The following is a 23,040-nucleotide window of genomic DNA, read 5'->3' as shown; positions in this document are numbered from 1 at the left end:
TTTCCACTTAACTCAGGAGGAAGACTACAGAAAAAGGGCCTTTTGGGAGTTTTCTACATCAGTGGGGTGCAGTGTCAGGCCTGTAGTTCCAGCCACTTGGGAGGAGGGGACAGAGGACAGGAGGATAGCGTGCGTGTAGGGGTTCTGGGATGTAGTGCACTGTGGTCACTGGGTCTCAGCACTGAGTTCGGCATCAGTGTGGTGACCTCCCAGTAGTAGGGGACCACCAGGTTGCCTAAGGAGGAGTGAACTGGCCCAGGTCAGAAACAGAGCAGGTCGAAACTCCCATGCTGATCAGTAGTGGGATTGCACCTGTGAATAGCCACTGCACTCATAGTCAACATAGTCAGAACCTGTCTCCCAAAATAAAATTAAAAAATAAAATAAAAACCAAATTATGGGCTGGGCATGGTGGCTCACACCTGTAATCCTAGCACTTTGGAAGGCCCAGGCAGAAGGATCACTTGAGCCCAGTAGTTTGAGGTTGCACTAGCTATGATTACATCACTGCACTCCAGCCTGGGCAACAAAGCAAGACTTCCTCTCTAATTAAAAAAATAGGCCAGGCGCAGTGGCTCACACCTGTAATCCCAGCACTTTGGGAGGCCGAGGCAGGTGGATCACGAGGTCAGGAGTTCAAGACCAGCCTGGCCAACATGGTGAAACCCTGTCTCTATTCAAAATGCAAAAATTAGCCAGGTGTGGTGGCACGCACCTGTAATCCCAGCTACTTGGGAGGCTGAGAGGCAGGAGAATGGCTTGAACCCGGGAGGCAGAGGTTGTGGTGAGCCAAGACCCTGCCACTGCACTCCAGCCTGGGTGATAGAGCGAGACTCCATCTCAAAAATAAATAAATAAATAAATAAATAAATAAATAAATTAAATAAAAATAAATAAATAATGCACTGTGAAAGAACAGCCTCAGGTGTAAATAGTCCTATGATGGGTAACCTACAGGGAGCACTGTCCGCCCTACCTTCTTAAGGATTTTGTTAACATGCACAGAATACTTACAGAAAATACATAAGGCACTTTCAGATATATTATTTTGTTTAATCTGCACAACGAGGTTGGGATATATTATTTTTTTCTATTTTAGAAATGAGAAAACTAAAGCCAGAGAAATTAGGTATATGACTTATTCAAAGTCATATAGCCAGAAAATCATATAACTGGGATTCAAATTCAGGTAATCTGATCCAAATTCATACAAATCACACCAAAGAGGTCTCAACAAGACTGAATGTGGCCCAGAATTGCCTATGAGACCTTCAGCTCTTCATTTCAGCCCCATGGTGGGGAGGTGGGGACTAGACCCACCAATCCTCATTCATAAACCCAATGTAAAAGAAATCTTATCTTCTAAGAAAATGCCCTCACTTCTGCTATCAACACAGTCAGGTAAGACAGGGGAAGAAAGTAATTTACTTATTAAAGAAACTACCTCAGAAGGTCCTCAGCTTAAAAGAAGGAAGTAAAACAGATAAACCCTTTTGCCTAGAGAGATAAAAGATTCTACACTTCCCCAGATGGCCTTGACAGGGAGTGGGTTCTGTGAAATCCACACTTTATAAAGAGAAGGGAAATGTCACCAGACTTTCATATCTGTAGAACTTTGTTAGAGTCTGTAAAGCGGAAAAATATAACATGGGACCAACTGTCAATACTTCTGTTTTTAAAAAAGAAAACCACCTTTGGAACAAAATGAGACCACACTGGAATAGGACATCTTAGACATGACGAGTTCTAACTTGGTGTGCGATTATTAAGAGGCAACCCCCCAATCCTGCTGAGTCAATGGGCAGAATCTATTTTCAGTTTCCAACTTGTCCTGAGACGCTCTAAGTCTCTTGCCAAGTTGAATCAGTGCAGCATCTGTGGGTACCGATTAAGAACTCTACATTACCTAGGAAGAGAGCAGCAGAGAGTGTCAGGATAAAAGCATCCAAAAGTGAAGAAAATTCGCCAGCTATCTGGTCATGGAGCCAAATCATTTGTTAACCGTAGGAAAAGGAAAGACCTGCTCTGGTCGGTCCAAATTCATATTCCCTGGGCAACTAGGTGTCTTTTTCTACTTCTTCTGACAGTCCCAGGCAGGACACTGTTTAGCCTGAGAATCAAGGTCTCCTTGGAGGCTTCTTTGCACGGGTGCTTGACTTCTGCTGCCCCTACCTCTTGCTGAGACTGTGCTCTTACCTCCTGACCACCCCTTTTACTCACAGGGTCCCTAACCCTGCCTGGCTTGTGGCATGCCTAGTCTCCTAAAGCATTCTCCTTTGGGATTTCTGATCTCTTTTGTTGCTATCTGCATGCCTAGTTTCTGGCATACTCTAAATTCTGCCTGCCTTTGGCTTCTAGGTCACTAATTTGTCCTGCCCTTTGGTTCTTGGGTCTTACTCAACTCCTGTTTTTCCATCTTGCTGGCCCATTGCCTGGCCAAGACCCTACTTGCAGCTTCCTTCACCTATTTGATATTTTTTAACCTGTTTTTGCAAAGCACCATCATCATTCACAGTCCCAGAACTGACATATATTTAGAGCTTGAAGTGGAGTAATCAAGAGGAAATGCCTTTTTGGAAAGAGGAAATGCAGGATTAGAGTGGAGGCAAGTTTAGTCTTCTTTAGAACTGAATCTCAGGAAGGCAATAATGGAGAATATAAGGTGAAAAATACCTGAATTCAAATAGAAATCCTTTTATTGTTGGTAATTTAAGTAACAAAATAGTAATCATCTAAGAATAATTTAAAGTAAGAACCTGAGAGATCATTGCTTTTTTTTTTTTTTTTTGAGACAGTGTCTCACTCTGTCACCCAGGCTGGAATGCAGTGGTGTGATCTTGGCTCACTGCAACCTCTGCCATCTGGGGTTCGAGCGATTCTCCTGCCTTAGCCTCCCGAGTAGCTGGGATTACAGGCGGCTGCCACTGTGCCTGGCTAATTTTTTTTGTATTTTTAGTAGAGACGGGGTTTCACTATCTTGGCCAGACTGGTCTTGAACTCCTGACCTCACCATCCACCCACCTTGGCCTCCCAAAGTGCTGGGTTTACAGGCATGAGCCACCACGCCCAGCCTGATCATTGTTTCTTAATAATATTCTGTGTTTTTTTTTTGAGAGTCTGAGGATGAGGAAGAACAAAAGTTCTGTTTTTCATATCATGAAAATGTAGTTCCTTTGAACTAAATGTTTTTAGCTCATTATCAAATTTTAAATATATTAATTTAGGTTTTTTAATAGGTAGAATAATTTAGAATTCACAGTTATAATAATTTATTTTTAGTATCCCAAATTTGAAACCAGTGTTTAATTTAAATCTAATTGAACTGTGCTATTTTCATAGCGATTCACTGGCTCCTTTTGAAAGGTTTAATTTTAGGTTGTAGGAATTTAAGACAGATAATTCTTAAGGTACCCCTATAGTAATCAGTTCTATAACAACAACATATTTTTCTTATAGATAAATATGTAACTCACTCTTGTCCCTTCAAAAATGAATTATGTGACTCTAGAGTTGTATAGTTGGAATTTTCCTTAGAATCAGAAAAACAAATCCAGTCATTTCTACATTTGCCAAAATAGTAAAATGTTTGTTTTATTTTAAAATGAATAGAGCGAAGTAGCAGAGACAGATAGGGAGTTCGCCTGTGATAGAATTCTGGGCGTGCACCTTCACAGTATGACCTTAGGCAAGTTACCCAACCTTTCCCCGCCTAAGAAAGATTTTTAACCAACTCCAGCCACATACTCTGTGACTTTGAGCTCTTTCTGTGAGTCCTTATTCTTATAACTAGAGATAACTGTGCTGTGCAGGCAACTGGAAATTAAATTTTGCCTTCATACAGGTGGTGGCTATAGACCCTGACAGTCTTTGAACGGACTTCCCAGTTACCACCTCCAACCTGCTGGCCTGAATTTCAGAGTCTCTCCTTCTGAAGTACTTGATTCTGTGTCAGCTTGACTCTATCCAGCTGCTGCCTAATCCAACACTGACAACTGCTTTCACAAACTATAACCTGATAACTGGAACTATTTTGAACGCCTGTTGGCCCTATCAGCATCACCAAGTTCCAGTCCATCCCAGCGGATGTGTTCAATGCTGGTTCTCTTCTCCTCTCTGGTATTAGCAGGCCATACTTGGCCCACTCTGAGATGTCAGATATGTGATTCTGTATTGTATAATCCTACAGCATCAATAAATAGTTAGATTATATTCATTACAGAGTTTCATAAAACAGAGACATGGGTGTCATAGTTCAAAAAGATCTCTATTAATGTAACAACGGTCAACAGTTTTACAAGAGTTGGTGCCTTAAAGGGACTAGTTTTGTTTACTAAGAAAATTAATTTGTGTGGAAAAGCCCATTTCCCTATAACTCAAAAATTAATTTTTACCTAAAGCTTTTTGAGAAGGTTTGTTGAAGATGCTGGCTCTCCATTGATTTGTTCAATAACAAGAGTAATCAGGCTGGGCGCGGCAGCTCACACCTTTAATCCCAGCACTTTGGGAGGCAGAGAGAAGCGGATCACCTGAGGTCAGGAGTTTGAGACCAGCCTGGCCAGCATAGTGAAACCTTGTCTCTACTAAAAATACAAAACAATTAGCGGGGCATGGTGGTGGGCGCCTGTAATCCCAGCTACTCAAGAGGCTGAGACGCGAGAACTGCTTGAACCCAGGAGGCAGAGGTAGAAGTGAGCCGAGATAGAGCCCCTGCATCCCAGCCTGGGCAACAGAGCAAGACTCTGTCTCAAAAAAAACAAACAAAACAAAACAGTAATCATATATGGCCTTATAGCAGGACATTTTAGACATCTTTTTCAGACTTCTACTTGAGTCCAGTGCCTACTCTGTGCTAAGCATCATGCTGAGCACTTTATAACACATAACCCCATTTAATCTCTTGTTGCTGAAGATGAAACTGAGGCATAGAGATTTTAAATAGCTGGCCCAAGGTCATACAGCTAAAAAGTAGCAGAACTAAACAAAGAGAGCCTATCTGTTTTCAGTGGTTCTTGTAGAGCTCCTAACCACTATAATGCAACAAAGAAACATTGAAAAGCAGGAAAAAAACTCAGGAAAAGATGAAGAATATGCTCCACAAGAAGTTTGGAATCCTTATGACATTTTCTGAACTTGTTGGTTCTAACTGGATTTTACTGGGGGTGATCAGCAAGGAAACATCTGGGTTCTCTAAGAACCTTTACTGTCATCTGAGAGAATCAAATGTTTCCTGGACTTGGATGGTTATTCTTGTGCTCAAGAAAATTGGGGAGTGCTTAGGGTTAGTCATCAGAAGGAAGAAAGCACTAGAAATCACCCAGTAAACAGTGCTCTTGTAGTGCCACCCGGTCATCTCTTGCTGCGTTATGTTTCTACCTGATTTTCCTCTTCTGTGGAGAACATGGCATATTCTTATACACAAAATTAAGAGAGTAGGGAAACCCTATTGTGAAATACTATTTTAATATTATGACATTGTCATGCTTGCTTTGACAGCTCATATACTAAAAATGGAACCATATAGAGAAGAGTATCATGGCTTCTGCACAAGGATGACATGCCAATTCGTGAAGCATTCCATATTTTTAAAATCTGTATATTATGACATTGACAGTTTATACAAAATCCCAGAGACTATTGCCAGAGACTGAAAATGTCATCAAATGGTCTCAGGACAAGTTCATATCCTCCTGAAGTCTAACCCACCACAATAAGGTGACTCCTTCAGTAACTTCCATGTGATAGGTCTCATAAGATGTTCATTTCTGACATTATTGCTGCAGTCACTGTGAATTCTCAACATAAGTCTTTTAGTGCAACATTTTCATTAGGAGGAATTTCAAGATCCAGAATTAAAGTGTTATGCCTTAAATCAGACAAAATCTTAGCACCAAATTATTACAGGTGTTTCATTTTCTTGAAGAACTATTCCAAAAAAAACCCAGCACTTCTTCAGGGAATGTACTGATAAGAATAAAGAACAAAATAAAGATTGTCATTCATGACTGTTTCAGATTTTGAACGCTGCTTTCAAGGTAAAAGCTCTTTTTAAAACCTATTTTATTTTTATACTTCTTATCTTCTTGGAAGCCTCACTTATTCATTCATTCTTTTATTTTCTTAAGAAATGTTTATGGATTACCTTCTCTAGGCCAACTGTTAAGGAAATAACAATAAATTATAATTTCCCTTCAATCATTCTTATCATTTCCCTTCTTATCATTCTTCCTCTTTTTTTAAAGCACTGTATTCTATATTAAAAGCAGATACACAAAATACCTGCCCTACTTTATAAGTTTCTTTTGTTCCATACTCTGAACAGCATTTTATAAAATTTTGGACACAATAGATTCTTAATATTTGGTGGTAGTGTTAGTAGAAAATTAGGGAACCACTGTATTTTTAAATTCCAATGTCCAATGGGCCTTTTCATAGAAGATAAAAAAGAGCTCTGTCTCTCATTTCAGTCTATGTTCTCATGATTCAATCACAATAGATTTCATTTTTCCTGGGGTGCAAATTCAGTCACCACCTTGGCTTATCAATACCCTGCACCATCTAGTGGCCTGAGAAGGTGAATACAGACTACACAGTATATGGAAAGAATTCACTTGTCCTGTTATCTGAGGAATTTCAGGTAAAACATGGGTTCTTTTTAATGGAATCATTAATCCAGAGCCTAATCTTTCTCTATTCTCTTCACTTGCTCCTTTCTTGCTTCCCATTCTGAAGCTTCAAAGAAGCTCCTCTTTAAGTGTACTTTCCCAAGTCACTGCTATGATTTTAACTCAGAGGTCACTAAGTCAAATACCTACAGGGACCAGACAGGAAAGATAAATAAATGCTGAGGGCTGAAGCAAGAAAACTAGGAAGTGAGAGGGACTATAGCAGACCGCAGGACAAGTGCCACACAGAGGTCACACCAGCCCACCATTGGTGTGTGTGAGAGGCTTGGTTAGCTGATCTAATTTTCAAAAGCGCCAGAAATCTAGATGTTTATGTAAAATGTCCCAATTTGTAAATATTGGAAGAAACAAAACACAATCTGCCCAGGGCTGCCATTAGCAACCTGTGTTCTCATTGGTATTGAATTCAAAGCACTGAAAACACCACAGGTTTCCGAAATGTCCTTGAAGAATGTCAGTTGAGTTCTGTGATCTAACCTTACTGTCAAGGCAAAAGAGAAGGGAAAGATTCTTATCAGGAGTGTGATTTGATGTTGGTCTAATTAGTACATTTTCATTAGTCTAATTAATAGGTTTCCATTCTTCAGTTTTAAAAAAATGTAATAAAGTGACTTTTTTTAGGTAAGAAAGGGGGAATGAAACAAATATATATTAAATTTTAAAAATACATATTCAATTTTGCTTTTATTTATATAAAAAATTGGCACTGGAAGGATAAATTTAAAATTAGTAAAAGTGATTACCTATGAGGGGTAGGACAAGGTAGAATAATAAAATTTCTCAATGACTACTTTTAATTTAGTTTTTATTTTTGAACCAGATGAAAATATTACATATTCAAAAATTACAATAAATTTAAAAATAAAAATAAAAAACATTAAAATCACATTTTTAAAATTACCTATCATACAGAGAAGTACGATAGGTTGAAAAATAGAGACTGGGCACCGTGCCATGTATCTGTAGTCCTAATTACTAGGGAGGCTCATATGGGAGGGTTGCTTGAGCCCAGGAGTTCTAGATTATGATGAGCTATGATCATACCACAGCACTCCAGCCTAGGTGACAGAGCAAGATTAAATAAATAAATAAATTAGAAAGCATAAAAATAAAAAACTATAACGCTGTATGAGGGAAGCAGAATTATAAAAGTTCAAGAAGAAGAAAAGGGAACAATGTTATATTTCTGATAGCTAAATAAATAATCTTGTAACTTAAAGGATGATACTCTTTAAATGGTATCAAGGTGCATGGTATTTATATATATTCCACTGGATACACTTAAGAGTTGTGTGACAGTTTTTTGGGGTTTTTTTTTTTTTTTTTTTAGATGGAGTCTCGCTCTGTCGCCCAGGCTGGTGTGCAGTGGTGTGATCTCGGCTCACTGCAAACTCCGCCTCCCAATTTCAAGCAATTCTCTGCCTCAGCCTCCCGAGTAGCTGGGATTACAGGCACCCGCCACCACGCCTAGCTAATTTTTGTATTTTTTAGTAGAGATGGGGTTTCACCATCTTGGCCAGGCTGGTCTTGAACTCCTGACCTCGTGATCCACCTGCCTCGGCCTCCCAAAGTGCTGGGATTACAGGCATGAGCCACCGCGCCCAGCCACAGTTTTATTTTTAAATGCCAATATTTACAACACAAAACTGAAAATTACTTCCTTTACAATTGTTTAATTTTATGATAAAAATTTTGGATGTTGATATAAAACATCAGAGAATTCATATCTTTTTCAAAATTCTTTTGAGAATGTGCAAACAAGAAAGTTCAAAGACCACCGATCTTGATTTTCCTGTACTGGAACCCACTGGAGTAATTTCTTTGTCTCTGGAAGGCCAAAGTTACATTACATATGATGACTAAGAGGCCACAAATTAGCACCTCTGAACATAACCATATGAATTAGTTTTGGATTAGCTAGCTTTTACTTAGAAAAACTTAAATTTTTAAGTGCCATAAGAACAGGCACCAGCACAAGTACATTTGGATGTTTGTAAAGTAGGTCCAGTATATGACATAAAGGCTGGCCAGGCCTCTGCAGTGAGAGTTCAGGAGAACATCAGACCAGAGGCAGAAAGGATCTTGCCTAAATTTGCCAAGGCCAACGTGCTTGGATCCATCTTGGGACTCATCCAAGTGGATTTATAGCCAAACTGCAAGTTCAGTGGTACAAGGGCTCACCGTACCCACCTGTATGCAAGGTCCTCAGGATGGGCCCTGGAGGGCAAGGGTCCTGGGGCATGTGAAGACAAGGGAAGCAACTCAAGTTGGAAATGAAAATCTTCTAAACTACTTTTCTCCATTCAAATAAAACATTAATTTCATTTAGTCTTGGGTGACTCTAAAAGGAAACCCGAATAACCATTTCTTCTCATTTGGTTCAAATTTTGTCCTTGGTATCCTTGTTTATATCTTTTACCGTGAGAAACACCAGACCACCATGCCTCCCTCACTTCTCACCTGACCCTCTCAAGGCTCTTCACATCACCTATTCTGAACTCTTCTCAAGACTCCCCAGTTTTTGAGGCTTTTCCACTGTGCCCTCTGTCTATCATCAGCAAAATCCTCTATGTCCTCCAACGCTTCTCTAAATATCTCCTGCACCTTCTTGTCCTAACACCAACCTGGCTCATCCCTGTGGATGCTGTTGTCCCTGCAGCCTTCCCAGCGCCCTCATACCACTGAAGTGGGAGGTAGGAGAGGGCTCTTCCATGCTTCTTTTAAGATATTCTTCCTGCTTCCTCTCTAATTCCTGCCCCTGCCCATTATCTTAAAACTCATGTCCTCTGATGTTGTCACTCACCTTCCTCATTCCTCACCTACTCACTCACAGATCACTGTCTTATCAAGGACTTTAGCTTTTGCTACTGACATCTTCCCCAGCACCTCCTGTCCTAAGTCTTACTGTTTTTAATACGCATGCATATAATCTGTATGACAGTCTGTCCTTGACTCTCTTCCAATGATCCTGCCTCCACATCCCTTAGCCATTCACTGCCATGGTGGCATCCCACCCTAGGTTTAATCACTCCTCCATAGTCTCAATTTCATGGATCCCACTAAAATTACCACATTGTTGTGGTCACCCTGCAGAAGCCAGATGGGCTCCTCCACCTAAAATTTAATTTGGACGTTGAGACTGATGATGTTACACTTGCACCAAGAGGGTGTGAAAAGGTTTATTCACATACTGCAGCTTTCTGGGGAGAGCAGGGCAGGCTCCCAAACTGGTTCAAAAATGGCTTAAGGGAGCAAAGAAAGGAGACTATCTTAGGATGTCATGGTGGTTAAGGGGTAGGACCACGGTGAGGGCTCTCTCACATGGGCTGGGTCTTGCACGGTTTGAACTTCCTGCTGGCATCAAAGGCATCTAGGCTTTCTTATGTTTGCACAGAGGAAACAGGAGTGGCAGGGCTTCAAAGCTGTCAGCACATATAAAAAATGGAGTCAGACTTGCAATATAGATATATATTTAGAGACAGTGTCTCACTCTGTTGCCCAGGTTGGAATATATGGAACGATCATGGCTTGTTGCAACCTCCACCTCCTGGTCTCAAGGGATCCTCCTGCTTCAGCCTCCGGAGTAGCTGGGACTACAGGTGCACATCACACTAAAGAGTTTTGTGACAGTTTTTTGGGGTTTTTAGCCATGCTTGGCTAATTTTTAAATTTTCTATAGGAATGGGATCTCACTATGTTGCTCAGGCTGGTCTTGCGCTCCTAGCCTCAAATGATCCTCCCGTCCCAGCCTCCCAAAGTACTGGGTTTACAGACATGTGACACTATGCCCAGCCTCAGACTATTACATACCTCCTATCTTTCCAGATCATTCTCTCTTTTCCCTAGACTCCTACAACCCCTCAACCCCAGAAGGACTTGCAATTCATTGATCCTACCACCTTTTCACTGTCCTTAAACTCTCCATATCCACTCTTCCCTCCTTAATCATCTTAAGTTCCATGGTGAATCATAATCATGCCCTTGCTTATATCCTCAACTTCCTTGTTCTCCTCTCCTTGCTCTTGTTCCTTTAGTAAAATGTGATTAAACAGAATTTCAGCCTACTCTGGACCTGCTTCCTAGGAGCTAATTATTGCTGGAGAAAGAAGCACACTCATACTAACTTGTCTCACTTAAATTCATGACCATAAACTGAAGTGGGCCCTACATGACACTCAACAAGCACACAATTATTCTCTGGTCCATTGTCTTCTCATTCTCCTAGATGACATTTCACACCTTCTCTTCCCTTTTCACATAATCTTTCCCATCTCCTCCCAGCTGATAGCATTTCTTTCTACATCTCTAAGAAAATTGAAGCAATCAGAAGAGAACTTCCAAAGATTCCTATTTACCATGCCTACCCACCTGCCTGCCTGTTTCCATAGATCAACAGTCTGTACTCGTCTACAAATGATCCTTCCACTTGTGTGTTAGTTTTCAAACGCTTTTTCCCTCTCAAGGACACCACTCCAGCACTTCTCACTTCTTGTTTCTACATGAATTTTCCCTTTTCTTCCGGATCATTCCCATTAAAAACAAGTATTTCTCCCCCTACCACCTTCTTTCTCTCTTTTTTTTTTTTTTTAAAGAAACAGGGTCTCACTCTGTCACCCAGGATGGAGTGCACTGATGCGATCATAGCTCACTACAGCCTTGACCTCCTGTGCTTGGCCTCTCCCCATTTTTTTTCAATCTTCTTTTGACTCTGCTTCTACTGTCCCAGATTTGGGCTCCCCTTTGTAAGAGAACTTCTCAAAAGAATTGTTTGTATTAGCCACCTCCAGTTTCTCTCCTCTCATTTTTTTCTTAAAACCACTCCAATCAAGTTTTTCCTCTATTGCTCCACTGAAGGGTTATCAATGGCCTCCATGTCACTAAATCCAACAGTCAATTCTCAGTGCTCACTCGCAGAGGAGCACTCCCTCTTCCTAGATCCACAAGCTTCACTCGGCTTCAGGGCACCTCACTCGGGTCTCCCACTTCACTGGCTGCTCCCTTTCAGTCTCCTTGGCTGGCTCACCCACTACCCTGTCTTAAAGCTGCATTGGTCCCCAGAGCTCCATCCTCAGTCGTCTTTTATTTACACTCACTTCCTTGGTGATCTTAGGCAGTCTCATGGCTTTAAACGCCATCTAAATGCTGATATCTCTCATATACCTCTAGCTTGGACCACGCTCCTTAATCCTAGACTCATTCATACATACAACTGCCTAATCAAGATCTCCACTTCAATTTCTAATAGATACCTTAAAATGGAACTTCTCCAAAACTGAACTCCTCTTTTGCCTCAAACTTCCTCTATTTGTAGTCTTCCCCATCTCCCTTGGTGTTTTCCCCATAACCTTTATTAGCATTCTTATCCAATTTGATTTTATTGATTACATTTATTATTTATTGCCCCTCTCTCTCACATCCACAAGCGCAAGGATTTTTGTCTGTTTTGTTTATGTAACCGAAACAACTTGAATGGTGCCTGGGTACTCATAAATCTTTATTAAATGAATGAATGAAACCACTAGGATTCATCCTTATCTTACTCAGAAATTACTGTCTCTTGACCCAAACAAAATCAATGAAAAATTGGTTTATCTGCAAGCAATAAAATAAGACCAAGTAGCTGTAGTTCCAGCTACATGGGAGGATGGCTTCAGCCCAGGAGTTTGAGTCCAGCCTAGGCAACATGGTAAGACCCCTCTCAAAAACAGAAAGAACAACCACCACAACAAAAATCACCTAGGTTTAAAACCTGTGTCTGTGTGTGGGTTGAGGGAAGGGGCAGACATGAAGGTATCTCTTCAGAACAAGGCACCTGAACAAGGCTTATGCAAAAACCAAGTGAGAATGAGTAATGGTTTGCTTCTGGGGAAACCCCTTCTCAGAGCAACAGGCCGGAATGAGCTCTAACGGGCCACCTAAACTTTGTTAGCATCACGCTTAAACGTGGTAGGTGGGGTAAAAAGCAGCCAAAAAAAAAAAAAAAAAAAAAAAAGCTGCTTCTTCCATTACAAGTCACTTGGATCAACAGCTGTTCTCCCACTAGGGTGGCTCTTTTTTCCCTTATTTGGAACTCATTGTCAAAAGAAAGACACCACACCCTGTGTTATGTAGCCTTAACCAAGCAGCAGGCCACGTCCCAGGCTCCCTGCCTTCAGGACTGTATTTAATTCGGTGTTTTTGTTTTTGTTTTCTTTTGAAATCAGTGTTCCTGGACGGGGCCAGGAAAACTCTGAAGCTGTCTTAAAAACAATATAAACCAAAAAAGTCGGAATTTTTTAAAAGTACATTTTTAAAAAAAGTTGTAGGCCGTTAGAGGCGAACTGGAGCGTGGTAAGGGGGGCACCGAGTTCAGCAGTGGGGCGCCCTGTCCGCGTTCGAAGCTGAGCCCAGTCCTGGGGGGATGCCCCGGTCTGCGTCTCCAGCTGCGGCAGACACCCCCTTCCCCCGACCGCCACCAAGGGCGAGGGAGGACGAGCCAGTCCCCAGGGAAGGAGCCCCAAGCTTCCCTTGAATTTCCAAACAACCCGTCCAGACACGTCCTGACTCCAGGAGAAGAGTCCATGGGGAGCGTCGGTGCTGCCGGGGCGGGTGGCGGGACGCGCAGCTGGGCGCAGCGCGGGGAGCCGGAAGCCGGAGCAGACTGCGAGGCCAGCGCGGTCCGGGGGTCGCCGCATCAGCCAGCGAGAAGCACGCCCCAATCCGCGCCGAGCGTGCGACACCCCCGCTGCCGCGGCGCCCCCTCCCGCCTCCGCGCGCCTCCCCTTTAAGCTCCAGGCGCAGTCGATTTGTGTCGGCGGAGGCGAGGTGCGACTCCCCTTTATGGCGGAGTCGGCAGCAGCCTCTCTGACAGCCGCGGCGGCCGGCGGGCGAACAGGGCAGGAGGCTGGGCCTCTGGCCTCTCGCCGCCTTCACTGCAGCCGGGCCGAGGGGAGCGCGGCGCGCGCCGCGGCGGGGGCGGGGGAGTGGGCGGGCCCGGCCGGGCAGGGGGCGGGGAGGCGGGGGGAGGCGGGGAGCCCGGCCGCCAGCGCTCGGGTCCGCCTCTGACTGCAGCGCGGCGGGGCGATGTGTGATTACCATGGCGAGGAGTCTCTGTCCGGGGGCCTGGCTAAGGAAACCCTATTACCTCCAGGTAGGCCGGCGGCCGCCCAGCCACCAGCTGCGGGAGCACCCGGCCGTGTGCCCTGCCGCGCCGCGCAGGACTCGCCCGCTCCCCTCCTCCCTCCCTGGGTCTGTGCCCGCCCGAACCCCGCTGCCCCCTGCCGTCCGGCACCTGGCGGCGCGCCCTCCCCAGCCCCCTCAGCGGCTCTGCCGACGCCCCCCACCGCGGCCCTCGCGGCTCCCGCGCCGCGGCCAGCCGGGCTCCAGGGCCCGAGTCGTCCCGCCCGGGTACGCCCTCGCATCCTGAGAGCCCCGAGACGTGACCTGGGTACGACCCCGCGCTCCGGGCATTGCCCGCAGCCCTGCGCCGCTCCAGGCGGAGCTCGACGGGCCGCCTTCTCCCTGGTGTTTTCGGGGCTTTCCCCCCTCCCCCGTGGGCCCCCGCAGGTCGGTTGCCCTTGACTCAGTGTCTTGGGTCTTAAGTCGGTGGTAGGAAAGGTGGTGTAGCATTCCTCCGTGTCTTAGAAAATTATGACAATTTGTCACACCAGTGTTTCCCCAGGCTCCAAAAAGCAGCGTGTGCCTCGTGCCGAGCCCCTTGGTTGGGTCGTTCCATCACACCCAAGATTTAAATGGGAGGTGGAGACCGATAAGCCTGAACCAGGCGGATGGGTGTTTGCTTTTTAAAGGAAAGGGGCTAGTGGCTGGTCTGTGGATCCCAAATACCCTAGTAATGCAAACGTAATTCTCAGTCATGTCGTGTGTACGGTTCGCGTGTTAATTTTTCATGATTTCCCGTTCCACCCTCTGTTCCGCTGCCAGTCTGTGCCTTGGAACCCTACTACTGCCTAAGTGTACTGTTTGGTCACCAGGGGGACCTAGTAGACACCGCGAGTAGCTGAGCGCAAATCCATCACTCCGATGGAAAAACAACTACAAATCAATGCCTTGCGTGGGTCAGCAGTGTTAGCCAACGCTGCATTCAGAGGACAGTATTCCTTTACCGCTTACATTAAAAGGCCAAGAGGTAGATGATTTGGGGTCAGCTGGTGCTTTTATAAATTATGAAAAAAGTTGAGAAGGTAACCATCATGAGGCAAGTAAATCTTACATTTTTGTTTGAAAATTGTATGTGTAAGTCATTACCCTGAAATGAGTGACGTATTGCAAATTGGAAGCATGATTTGACAACCCATGATATTAAGCGTGTACGAATAAAACTGAGTCTTTGTAGCAAGCACCACCAATAGTAATTGTGCACTTGAGTAACACTGTCACAACCCCTTCTAGAATTCAACCCAGGCCAGGTACCTCTGTGTAATCTTTTATGTGAGTTTAAAAAAAAGCTTACCGGCCAGGCGCGATGGCTCACACGTGTAATCCCGGCACTTGGGAGGCCGAGGCGGGCTGATTCCTTGAGCTCTGGAGTTTGAGACCAGCCTGGGCAACATTGTGAAACCCCGCCTCTACTAAAAATACAAAAAAAAAAAAAAAAAAAAAAAAGTTGGTTGGGTGCCTGTGGTCCCAGCTACTCCGGGAGGCTGAAGTGGGAGTATGGCTTGAGCCCCGGAGCGGAGATTGCAGTGAGCTGAGATCACGCCACTGCACTCCAGCCTGGGCAACAGAGTGAGACCTTGCCTCTTAAAAACAAAAACAAAAACAAAAAAACGGCCAGGCGCAGTGGCTCATGCACTTTGGGAGGCCGAGGCGGGCGGATCACGAGGTCAGGAGATCGAGACCATCCTGGCTAACACGGTGAAACCCCGTCTCTACTAAAAATACAAAATATTAGCCGGGCGTGGTGGCGGGCGCCTGTAGTCCCAGCTACTCGGGAGGCTGAGGCAGGAGAATGGCGTGAACTTGGGAGGCAGAGCTTGTGGTGAGCCGTGATCGTGCCACTGCATTCCAGCCTGGGCGACAGAGTGCGACTCCGTCTCAAAAAAAAAAAAAAAAAAAAAGTGTTTTACTGTGGAAATTTGTATACCTTCAGAAAACAGAAAACAATAATGAACTGTCATATGCCCATCAGCCACCCTCATCAGTATTTTATTTCATTTCACCTCCCCCACTCCCTCTTCCAACCAAACTTATTTATTTATTTATTCATTTATTTATTTATTTAGAGACGGGTCTCCTTCTGTTGCCCAGGCTGGAGTGCAGTGGTGCCATCTGGGCTCACTGCAGCCTGGACTTTCCAGGCTCAGGTAATCCTTTCACCTCAGCCTCCTGAGAAGCTGGGACTACAGGCGCACACCACCATGCCCAGCTAATTTTTTTAATTTTTGTAGACACGGAGTTTCGCCGTGTTGCCCAGGCTAGTCTCAAACTCCTGGGCTCAAGCAGTCCTCCTGCCTTGACCTCCCAAAGTGATGGGATTACAGGCATGAGCCATCAAGCCTGGCTGAACCAAAGTATTTTAAAGTAAACCTCAGGCATCACATCATTTCATCTCAGTACCTCAATATACATTTCTAATAGATAAAGATATTTTCAGACATAATCATAATACCATTATCATGCCTAACAAAGTTAATAACAATTTATTTTTCCCACCCCTTTCTAGATATGCATCAACCTGAGATTACTAACTAAATTTGATTTGCCATGGAGTGAGTTTACTGTGATTTGGATGGGTCTCTCTGCAAAAAGCAAAACAAAAAACCCTCCTCTTATCAGCTCATTCATGCCACAAATTCTTATGAGGGAAACTAGTTTGATTTCATGTTTTGAAAGAATGTCTTAGAATACAGATGTCTGGTTTAAGTAACTTTTCCTGTGAATGAATGTATTATTTTAATTTAGAGTGAGGGTATAACTATTCAGCAGGTATAAGAGATCTTGTTCTGTTTGGGGGGAGGGGAAGGGTAAGAGTACAGGAAGAAGTTGGATTTATTTCACAGATAGAGGGAAGAGATGGAGGGCCAGGAAGAGGAGAGAAAGGTTGCAGAGACCAGCTTTGTATACTTGCAGTTATGCTGTTTGTCTTTAACTGGATGGGGTCAAAGACCAGTTATGTCCTGAGGTGTTCAGGCCTTAGGAGCTGTGAGTTCCCTTTTTTCTGCAGTGTACAGGAGAAAACTTTTAAGCAGTCAGCTTACTTGTAAAGGAACTTCATTCTCAGTATTTTTATTAATCCAGATATCACTGTGGCATTTGGTAACGCTTTTGGAAAACTGTGGCATTACACAATTAATGATATATTTTCAGCCATAATAGACATTCATGAGCTAATGCAGGCACCTATTCACTGTTTATAGCTTTGCTTATATAGCAGAAGAGATTCTACTGCCTGTGAAGAAAAGAACTTGTGTGGTATATGCATACAACAGAATATTATTCAGCAATAAAGTGAAATGAAGTTCTGATACACACTGTAACATGGATGAACCTTAAAAACATTAAATATATGAAACTAGTCACAAAAGATCACGTATTATTTCATTCATATGAGATGTCCAGAATGGGCAAATCTATAAAGACAAAAAGATAGATTAGTGGTTGCCTGGGGGGAAATGGGGAGTAACTACTGATGGATATGAAGTGTTCTTGAGGGGGACAGAAATGTTCTAAAATTGATAGTGGTGATGGTTGCCCAAGTATGTGAATATACTAAAACCTACTGAACGTTATGCTTTAAATGAATAAATTGTAGGATATGTGAATTATTAGTATATCTCCATAAAACAGTTGAAAAATAAATGAACCGAGTTTATCTCATGAAAGTCGTCCTTCTTCTCTCTGCCTTTTGCTGCAGATTCCACCAAGGTCAGCTTTTTGGTGCAGGGAGCACTTCTTCCAGGGGAGCTGGGCAGGCACACTGTTAGTCTGTGCAGCCTCTCTGTGGGCTAGAAGGACTTGTGACCTGCCTGGAAGGGCCAACAGACGTTTACCTGAGCAACAAGCTTCTCATGGCAAGGCATCTTGCCCAGAGCAAGCAAGCTAATTTACAGTTCCATGTTTTCCAGATATTTTGTTGAAACATTACTTGGGAAATAACACTTCCTGGACTGGCTAAATGATGCAGCACATTGAACAGAGTAGAATCCTGCCTCTGAGATCAGAAACTGTGGATGTATTAACTGCTTAAACCATTTTTAGGCAGTATTTTCTTCCACGTGCCATTATGGTGCATACTACTTGTGGCCTGCTTGGGTGTGATAACCCAGAATGACACCTGCATTTGTCTTTTTTTAGCAGTGTGTTTTCTACAAACTAAGATCTACTTTGTTTAGGGTTTACTCATAGTCTGAGTGAAGCTGATAACACAGCAACCCTATAATTTGTTGGTTTTGGTTTAAAATACCTTCTTCCTTCTCACCATCGTTAAGTCCTGAAAGAATGAAAGTCAAGACAATTCAGCATAATTCTCTGTACTTAGATTATACACATTTTCCATTCCAATCATTCTGCCTATGTGTTCTGTTGCATATGAAAAGTTGGTGCAGTTCTAATGGAATTTGAAGTCCCATGTACTTGGGTCCTTTGAAGGTTTTCAAGCCGTTTTGCTTGTAAGGGGCTTAAAGTTTTAGAAGTATCCTCTTGAAAATGACTGCCCTAGCAATTTCAGTATGTGTTCAGTAGGGTTGTTATGAGTGAATGGGTAGATGGCATGTTCTAGCTAGGGTGTTTGCACTTGTTTAACATTTCTGATACCTGGCACTTTGGCTCGTATTAGTACAATTTTTCAAACATGACTGCTGTGGATGGTTTGGTTCCTTATGAGTTAATGTGGATATTTTGTGAGATTTAGTGCCAGACAGGGTTACTGATACAGATTAATTGGTAATAGTAGTAATGTTGCCAAATACTGTAGTAAAAATGGGCTTTTTGCCCATTTTCAGTCTCCAGGATTATTTTAAATCTAAGGATAATTAGAGCCTATGGTTGTTCTCTATCCTCCAAAGACAATAGAGGGAGAAGATCTGTAGTTTGTATAGTTCTCATTAACTTTATTAGACCTGCTGTTCAGAGATTAGCTTTTGCCTTTGCCTGAAATTTAATCTCCAGAACTATGATTAGCTTTCTGAGACTGGTATGTGTACAGAGAGCCACTTGATATTACCATTAGTTGCTTTTGAACCTTTGTTAGAAGCTCAAAGAAATGGTGAATTCTCAGGCAGATTGCATCCTTACCACATTTCTTTCAAACTGGACCATACAGTAAAAGTGTTTCTTCACTGTAGTCTTCTCAGTGCCTCAGATTTTTTTTTTAAGTTAAAGATTTAAAAGTTTTTAGAGCCATTTTAAGTTCACAGCAAAATTGAGAGGAATGCAGAGAGATTTCCCATATACCCCTTGTCCTGACACATGAATAGCCTCCCTCCTTTTCTTTTCTTTTTTTTCCCCTTTTCTTCTTTTCTTTTCTCTTCTTGATACAGGATCTCCCTCTGTCACCCAGGCTGGAGTTCAGTGACACAATCATGGCTCACTGCAGCCTCTACCTCCCATACTCAAGTGATCCTACTGCTTCAGCCTCCTGAGTAGCTACAGGCACATCCCACCAAGTCCAGCTAATTTAAATATTTTTTTAAGAGACAGTGGTCCCACTGCATTGCCCAGGCTGGTCTTGAATTCTTGGGCTCAAGTGATCCTCCTGCCTTGGCCTCCCAAAGTGCTGGAATTATAGGAATTAACCACTGTGCCTGGCCCCTCCCCTATTTTCATTTTTTTTTCTTTTTTCTTTCTTTTCTTTTCTTTTTTTTTTTTTTTGAGACAGAGTCTCACTCTGTCACCCAGGCTGTAGTGCAGTGGTGCGATCTCAGCTCACTGCAAGCTTTGCCTCCCAGGTTCATGCCATTCTCCTGCCTCAGCCTCCCAAGTAGCTGGGACTACAGGTGCCCGCCACCACTCCTGGCTAATTTTTTGTGTTTTTAGCAGAGACGGGGCTTCACTGTGTTAGCCAGGATGGTCTCGATCTCCTGACCTCGTGATCTGCCTGCCTTGGCCTCCCAAAGTGCTGGGATTACAGGCGTGAGCCACCGTGCCCAGCCCCCTCCCCTATATTTAACATCCCCCACATAATGGTACATGTTTTACAGTTAATGAACTTACACTGACGTATTATCACCCAAAGTCCATAGTTTTACATTAGAGTTCATTCTTTGTGTTGTACATTCAGTGTGTTTGGATAAATGCATAATGACATGTATCCATCATTATTGTATAGAGTGTAGTTTCACTGCCTTAAAAATCTGTGCTCTGCTTATTTATCCTTCTGTCCCCACTGAGCCCCCAAAAGCCACTGGTCTTTATTGTCTCCATAGTTTTGCCTTTTTCTAAAATGTCATCTAGTTGGAATCACGTAGTATTTTAGGTAGCCTTTTCAAATAGGCTTCTTTCACTTAGTAATATGCATTTACGTCTCCTCTATGGCTTTTCATGGCTTAATAGCTCATTTCTTTTTAACGCTGAATAATATTTCGTTGTCTGGGTGTACCACAGTTTATCCATTCACTTACTGAAGGGCATCTTAGTTGCTTCCAGTATTTGGCAATTATGAATAAGGCTGCTACATAAACATCTGTGTGCAGGTTTTTTTGTGGAGTGCCCCAGTTTTTCATCTTGATGGATTATAGTATTATTTTTTATTCTCCATGAAAGTTTTCTTTTTTTGTAGCAGTTAGGTACATTTTATTGTTTTTATTTTTAAAAGTTGTTTCTAAAAGCAACACTATATCATCCTGTTAAATACCATCATTTTACATTGTCTGATTGAAGAGGTAAGGTGTTGTCGGCTGGGCACGGAGGCTCACGTCTGTAATCCCAGCACTTTGAGAGGCTGAGGCAGGTGGATCACTTGAGGTCAGGAGTTTGAGACCAGTCTGGCCAATGTGGCGAAACCCTGTCTCTACTAAAAGTACAAAAAATAGCCGGGTATGGTGGCATGTGCCTGTAGTCCCAGCTACTTGGGAGGCTGAGGTGGGAGAGCTTGAACCCGGGAGTTGGAGGTTGCAGTGAGCCAAGATCACGCCACTGCACTCCAGTCTGGGTGACAGAGTGAGACTCTGTCTCAAAACAAAAAAAAAAAAAAAAAAAAGAAAGAAAAGATAAAGTGTTAATATTTTTAACATATCCATTTCTTTTATTTATTTATTTATTTTTTTTTTTGTGAGACAGGGTCTTGCTTTGTTGCCCAGGCTGGTCTCAAACTCCTGGGTTCAAGTGCACCTTCCCACCTTGGACTTCCAAAATGCTAGGATTATATGTATGAGCTACTATGTCTGGCCATATTCATTTCTAGATGTTCAAATCATTTGCAAATAATTTTCCTTTAAAACTTTTTAATCTACGAAGTATGCGAGTTTAGAAAACCAGGATATTGCAATGTGCATGTTTTAATAACCCAAAATATTAGTAAATGAATTTATCTTTGAAAATAAGCAATTCCTTTTTTGTTGTTGATTGGGTATTTAATGAAATTAAATAGTTATCTTTCTTAGGTGTGATCATGGAATGGTGGTTATTTTTTTCTGTTTCATTTTTTGTTTTTTTAAATTATGGTCAAAAGCACATAAAATTTGCTATCTTAACCATTTTTAAGCATATAGTATAGTAGTATTAACTATTTTATGCACTTTGTGCAGCAACAAAGATCTGTGCAGCAGATCTCTAGAACTTCTTCATCCTGCAAAGTCGAAACTCTACCCATTGAACGACTCCTCATTTCCTCCTGCCCCTGGCCCTTGGTGACCACATTCTGCTTTCTGTTTCCATTAGACTGCTTTATACTTCATATAAGTGGAATCACACAGCATTTGTCTTTTTGTGACTGCCTTATTTCACTTAACATAATGTCACCCATGTAGATTATGACAGGATTTCCTTCTTTTTTAAAGGTGAATAGTATTCCATTGTATGTATATTCCACATTTCCTTTATCCATTCATTAGTCGATGAACATTTAGGTTGCCTCTACCTCTTGGCTATTGTGAATTGTACTACAATGAACATGGGAGTGCAAATATCTCTTTGAGATCTTGCTTTCAATTTTTTTGTATATCCAGAAGTGGGATTGTTGGATCACATGGTAATTCTATTTTTAATTTTTTTAGCAACCTTCATACTGTTTTCCAAAGTGGCTTTACCCTTTTACATTCCCACCAACAATACACAAGGGTTTCAATTTTTCCACATCCCCGTCTGCACTTCTTTTCTTTTTTTTTTTTTAAGAGTGACCATTCTCACGGGCGTGAGCTGATACCTTGTTTTAGTTTTTATTCACTTTCCTGATGATTAGTGGTGTTGAACATCTTTTCATATGCTTTTTGGCCATTTGTATATCTTCTTTGGAGAAAGTTCCTTCTTGATTTGTTGTTTCAGATTGATATTTATTCAACAGGGTTATGTGTTATTGTGAGCAGAGTTCCCCTTTCTTAAGAACAGGGTAAACATGTTTGAAGATATTCTTCCAAGAGAGATTTTAATGTATTAACAAGCTTCTGAATTAGTACATCCATTTCAGATGTAGCATAGTATCAGAGTCATAGACTATTATTAGATCTTAGAGCTAGTGCCACAAGTTTTACTCCCTGTCCCCCACTGCTTGAAAATTGGGACTCCTTATTTATTTTAAATCTAGAATGTTGATCAGGCTGCCATCCTATGTACCTTTCATTGGATCCTGTATTTTTTTTTAAAAAAAAGCCATAAAGGATTTTTTTTAGATTACGGGGAAATTTGAAAATGGATTACATATTGGATAGTAGTATTGTATCAATGTTAAATTGTGCTGTATGGGATAGTGTTCTGGTTTTCAGAAAATATAAACTGTAGTGTTTTTTTCAGGCAAAGTCTTGCTTTGTTACCCAGGCTGGAGTGCAGTGGCGTCATCATGGCTCAATGGTTCACTGCAACCTAGCCTTCCTGGCTCAAGCGATCTCCCACCTCAGCCTCCCAAATAGCTGGGCCCACAGGCCTGTGCCACCACACCTGGCTAGTTTTTGTATTTTTTGTAGAGACCAGGTTTCACCATGTTGCCCAGGCTGGTCTCGAACTCCTGGGCTCAAGCAGTCGGCCCACCTTGGCCTCCCAAAGTCCTGGCATTACAGGCGTGAGCCACTATGCCCAGCCAAAACTAAAGCCTTTAGGGTAAAAAGTATCATAATGTCTGTAATTTACTTACAAATGGTTCAGGAAAAAAATGTTTGTATATACATATACAGAAAGCAGGGTTTCTTAATCTCAGCATTATTGATATTTTGGGCTGGATAATTGTGTGGGACTTGGTGTTGCAGGATGTTTAGCAGCATCCATGGGCTCT

At 42.6% G+C, this 23,040-nt stretch overlaps 1 protein-coding gene and 2 pseudogenes across 4 annotated transcripts in view, besides 5 other annotated features; all 3 read left to right on the top strand.

The window, feature by feature from the left end:
- Positions 74-361, top strand: RN7SL692P (RNA, 7SL, cytoplasmic 692, pseudogene; annotated as a pseudogene).
- Positions 1,262-1,451: an enhancer, noted in NCBI's record as "active region_1324". NCBI's record gives its function as "activates an Ori minimal core promoter by ATAC-STARR-seq in GM12878 lymphoblastoid cells {active_cell/tissue: GM12878}" and the evidence as "EXISTENCE:reporter gene assay evidence [ECO:0000049][PMID:35858748]".
- RNU6-970P (RNA, U6 small nuclear 970, pseudogene) lies at positions 5,478-5,584 on the top strand (annotated as a pseudogene).
- Positions 13,366-13,445: a silencer, noted in NCBI's record as "silent region_1079". NCBI's record gives its function as "represses an Ori minimal core promoter by ATAC-STARR-seq in GM12878 lymphoblastoid cells {active_cell/tissue: GM12878}" and the evidence as "EXISTENCE:reporter gene assay evidence [ECO:0000049][PMID:35858748]".
- Positions 13,606-14,165: a silencer, noted in NCBI's record as "silent region_1078". NCBI's record gives its function as "represses an Ori minimal core promoter by ATAC-STARR-seq in GM12878 lymphoblastoid cells {active_cell/tissue: GM12878}" and the evidence as "EXISTENCE:reporter gene assay evidence [ECO:0000049][PMID:35858748]".
- The window catches only part of DIPK1A (divergent protein kinase domain 1A), a 128,734-nt gene continuing 119,419 nt past the window's right edge, over positions 13,726-23,040 (top strand). For all 4 annotated transcript variants that reach the window (NM_001252273.2, NM_001252269.2, NM_001252270.2 and 1 more), the window contains exon 1: positions 13,726-13,812. In NM_001252273.2, coding sequence (NP_001239202.1) covers positions 13,759-13,812 — 54 coding nt within the window. In that variant the 5' untranslated portion in view covers positions 13,726-13,758. The remainder of the gene's footprint in view (positions 13,813-23,040) is intronic.
- Positions 18,047-18,146: an enhancer, noted in NCBI's record as "active region_1323". NCBI's record gives its function as "activates an Ori minimal core promoter by ATAC-STARR-seq in GM12878 lymphoblastoid cells {active_cell/tissue: GM12878}" and the evidence as "EXISTENCE:reporter gene assay evidence [ECO:0000049][PMID:35858748]".
- Positions 20,497-20,680: a silencer, noted in NCBI's record as "fragment chr1:93420065-93420248 (GRCh37/hg19 assembly coordinates)". NCBI's record gives its function as "represses an EF-1alpha promoter that drives an FKBP-Casp9 reporter gene in an ReSE screen in K562 erythroleukemia cells {active_cell/tissue: K562}" and the evidence as "EXISTENCE:reporter gene assay evidence [ECO:0000049][PMID:32094911]".

Source organism: Homo sapiens, chromosome 1 (assembly GCF_000001405.40).
Source record: "Homo sapiens chromosome 1, GRCh38.p14 Primary Assembly".
NCBI lineage: Eukaryota > Metazoa > Chordata > Mammalia > Primates > Hominidae > Homo > Homo sapiens.
This window is presented reverse-complemented; position numbering and strand designations above follow the sequence as displayed.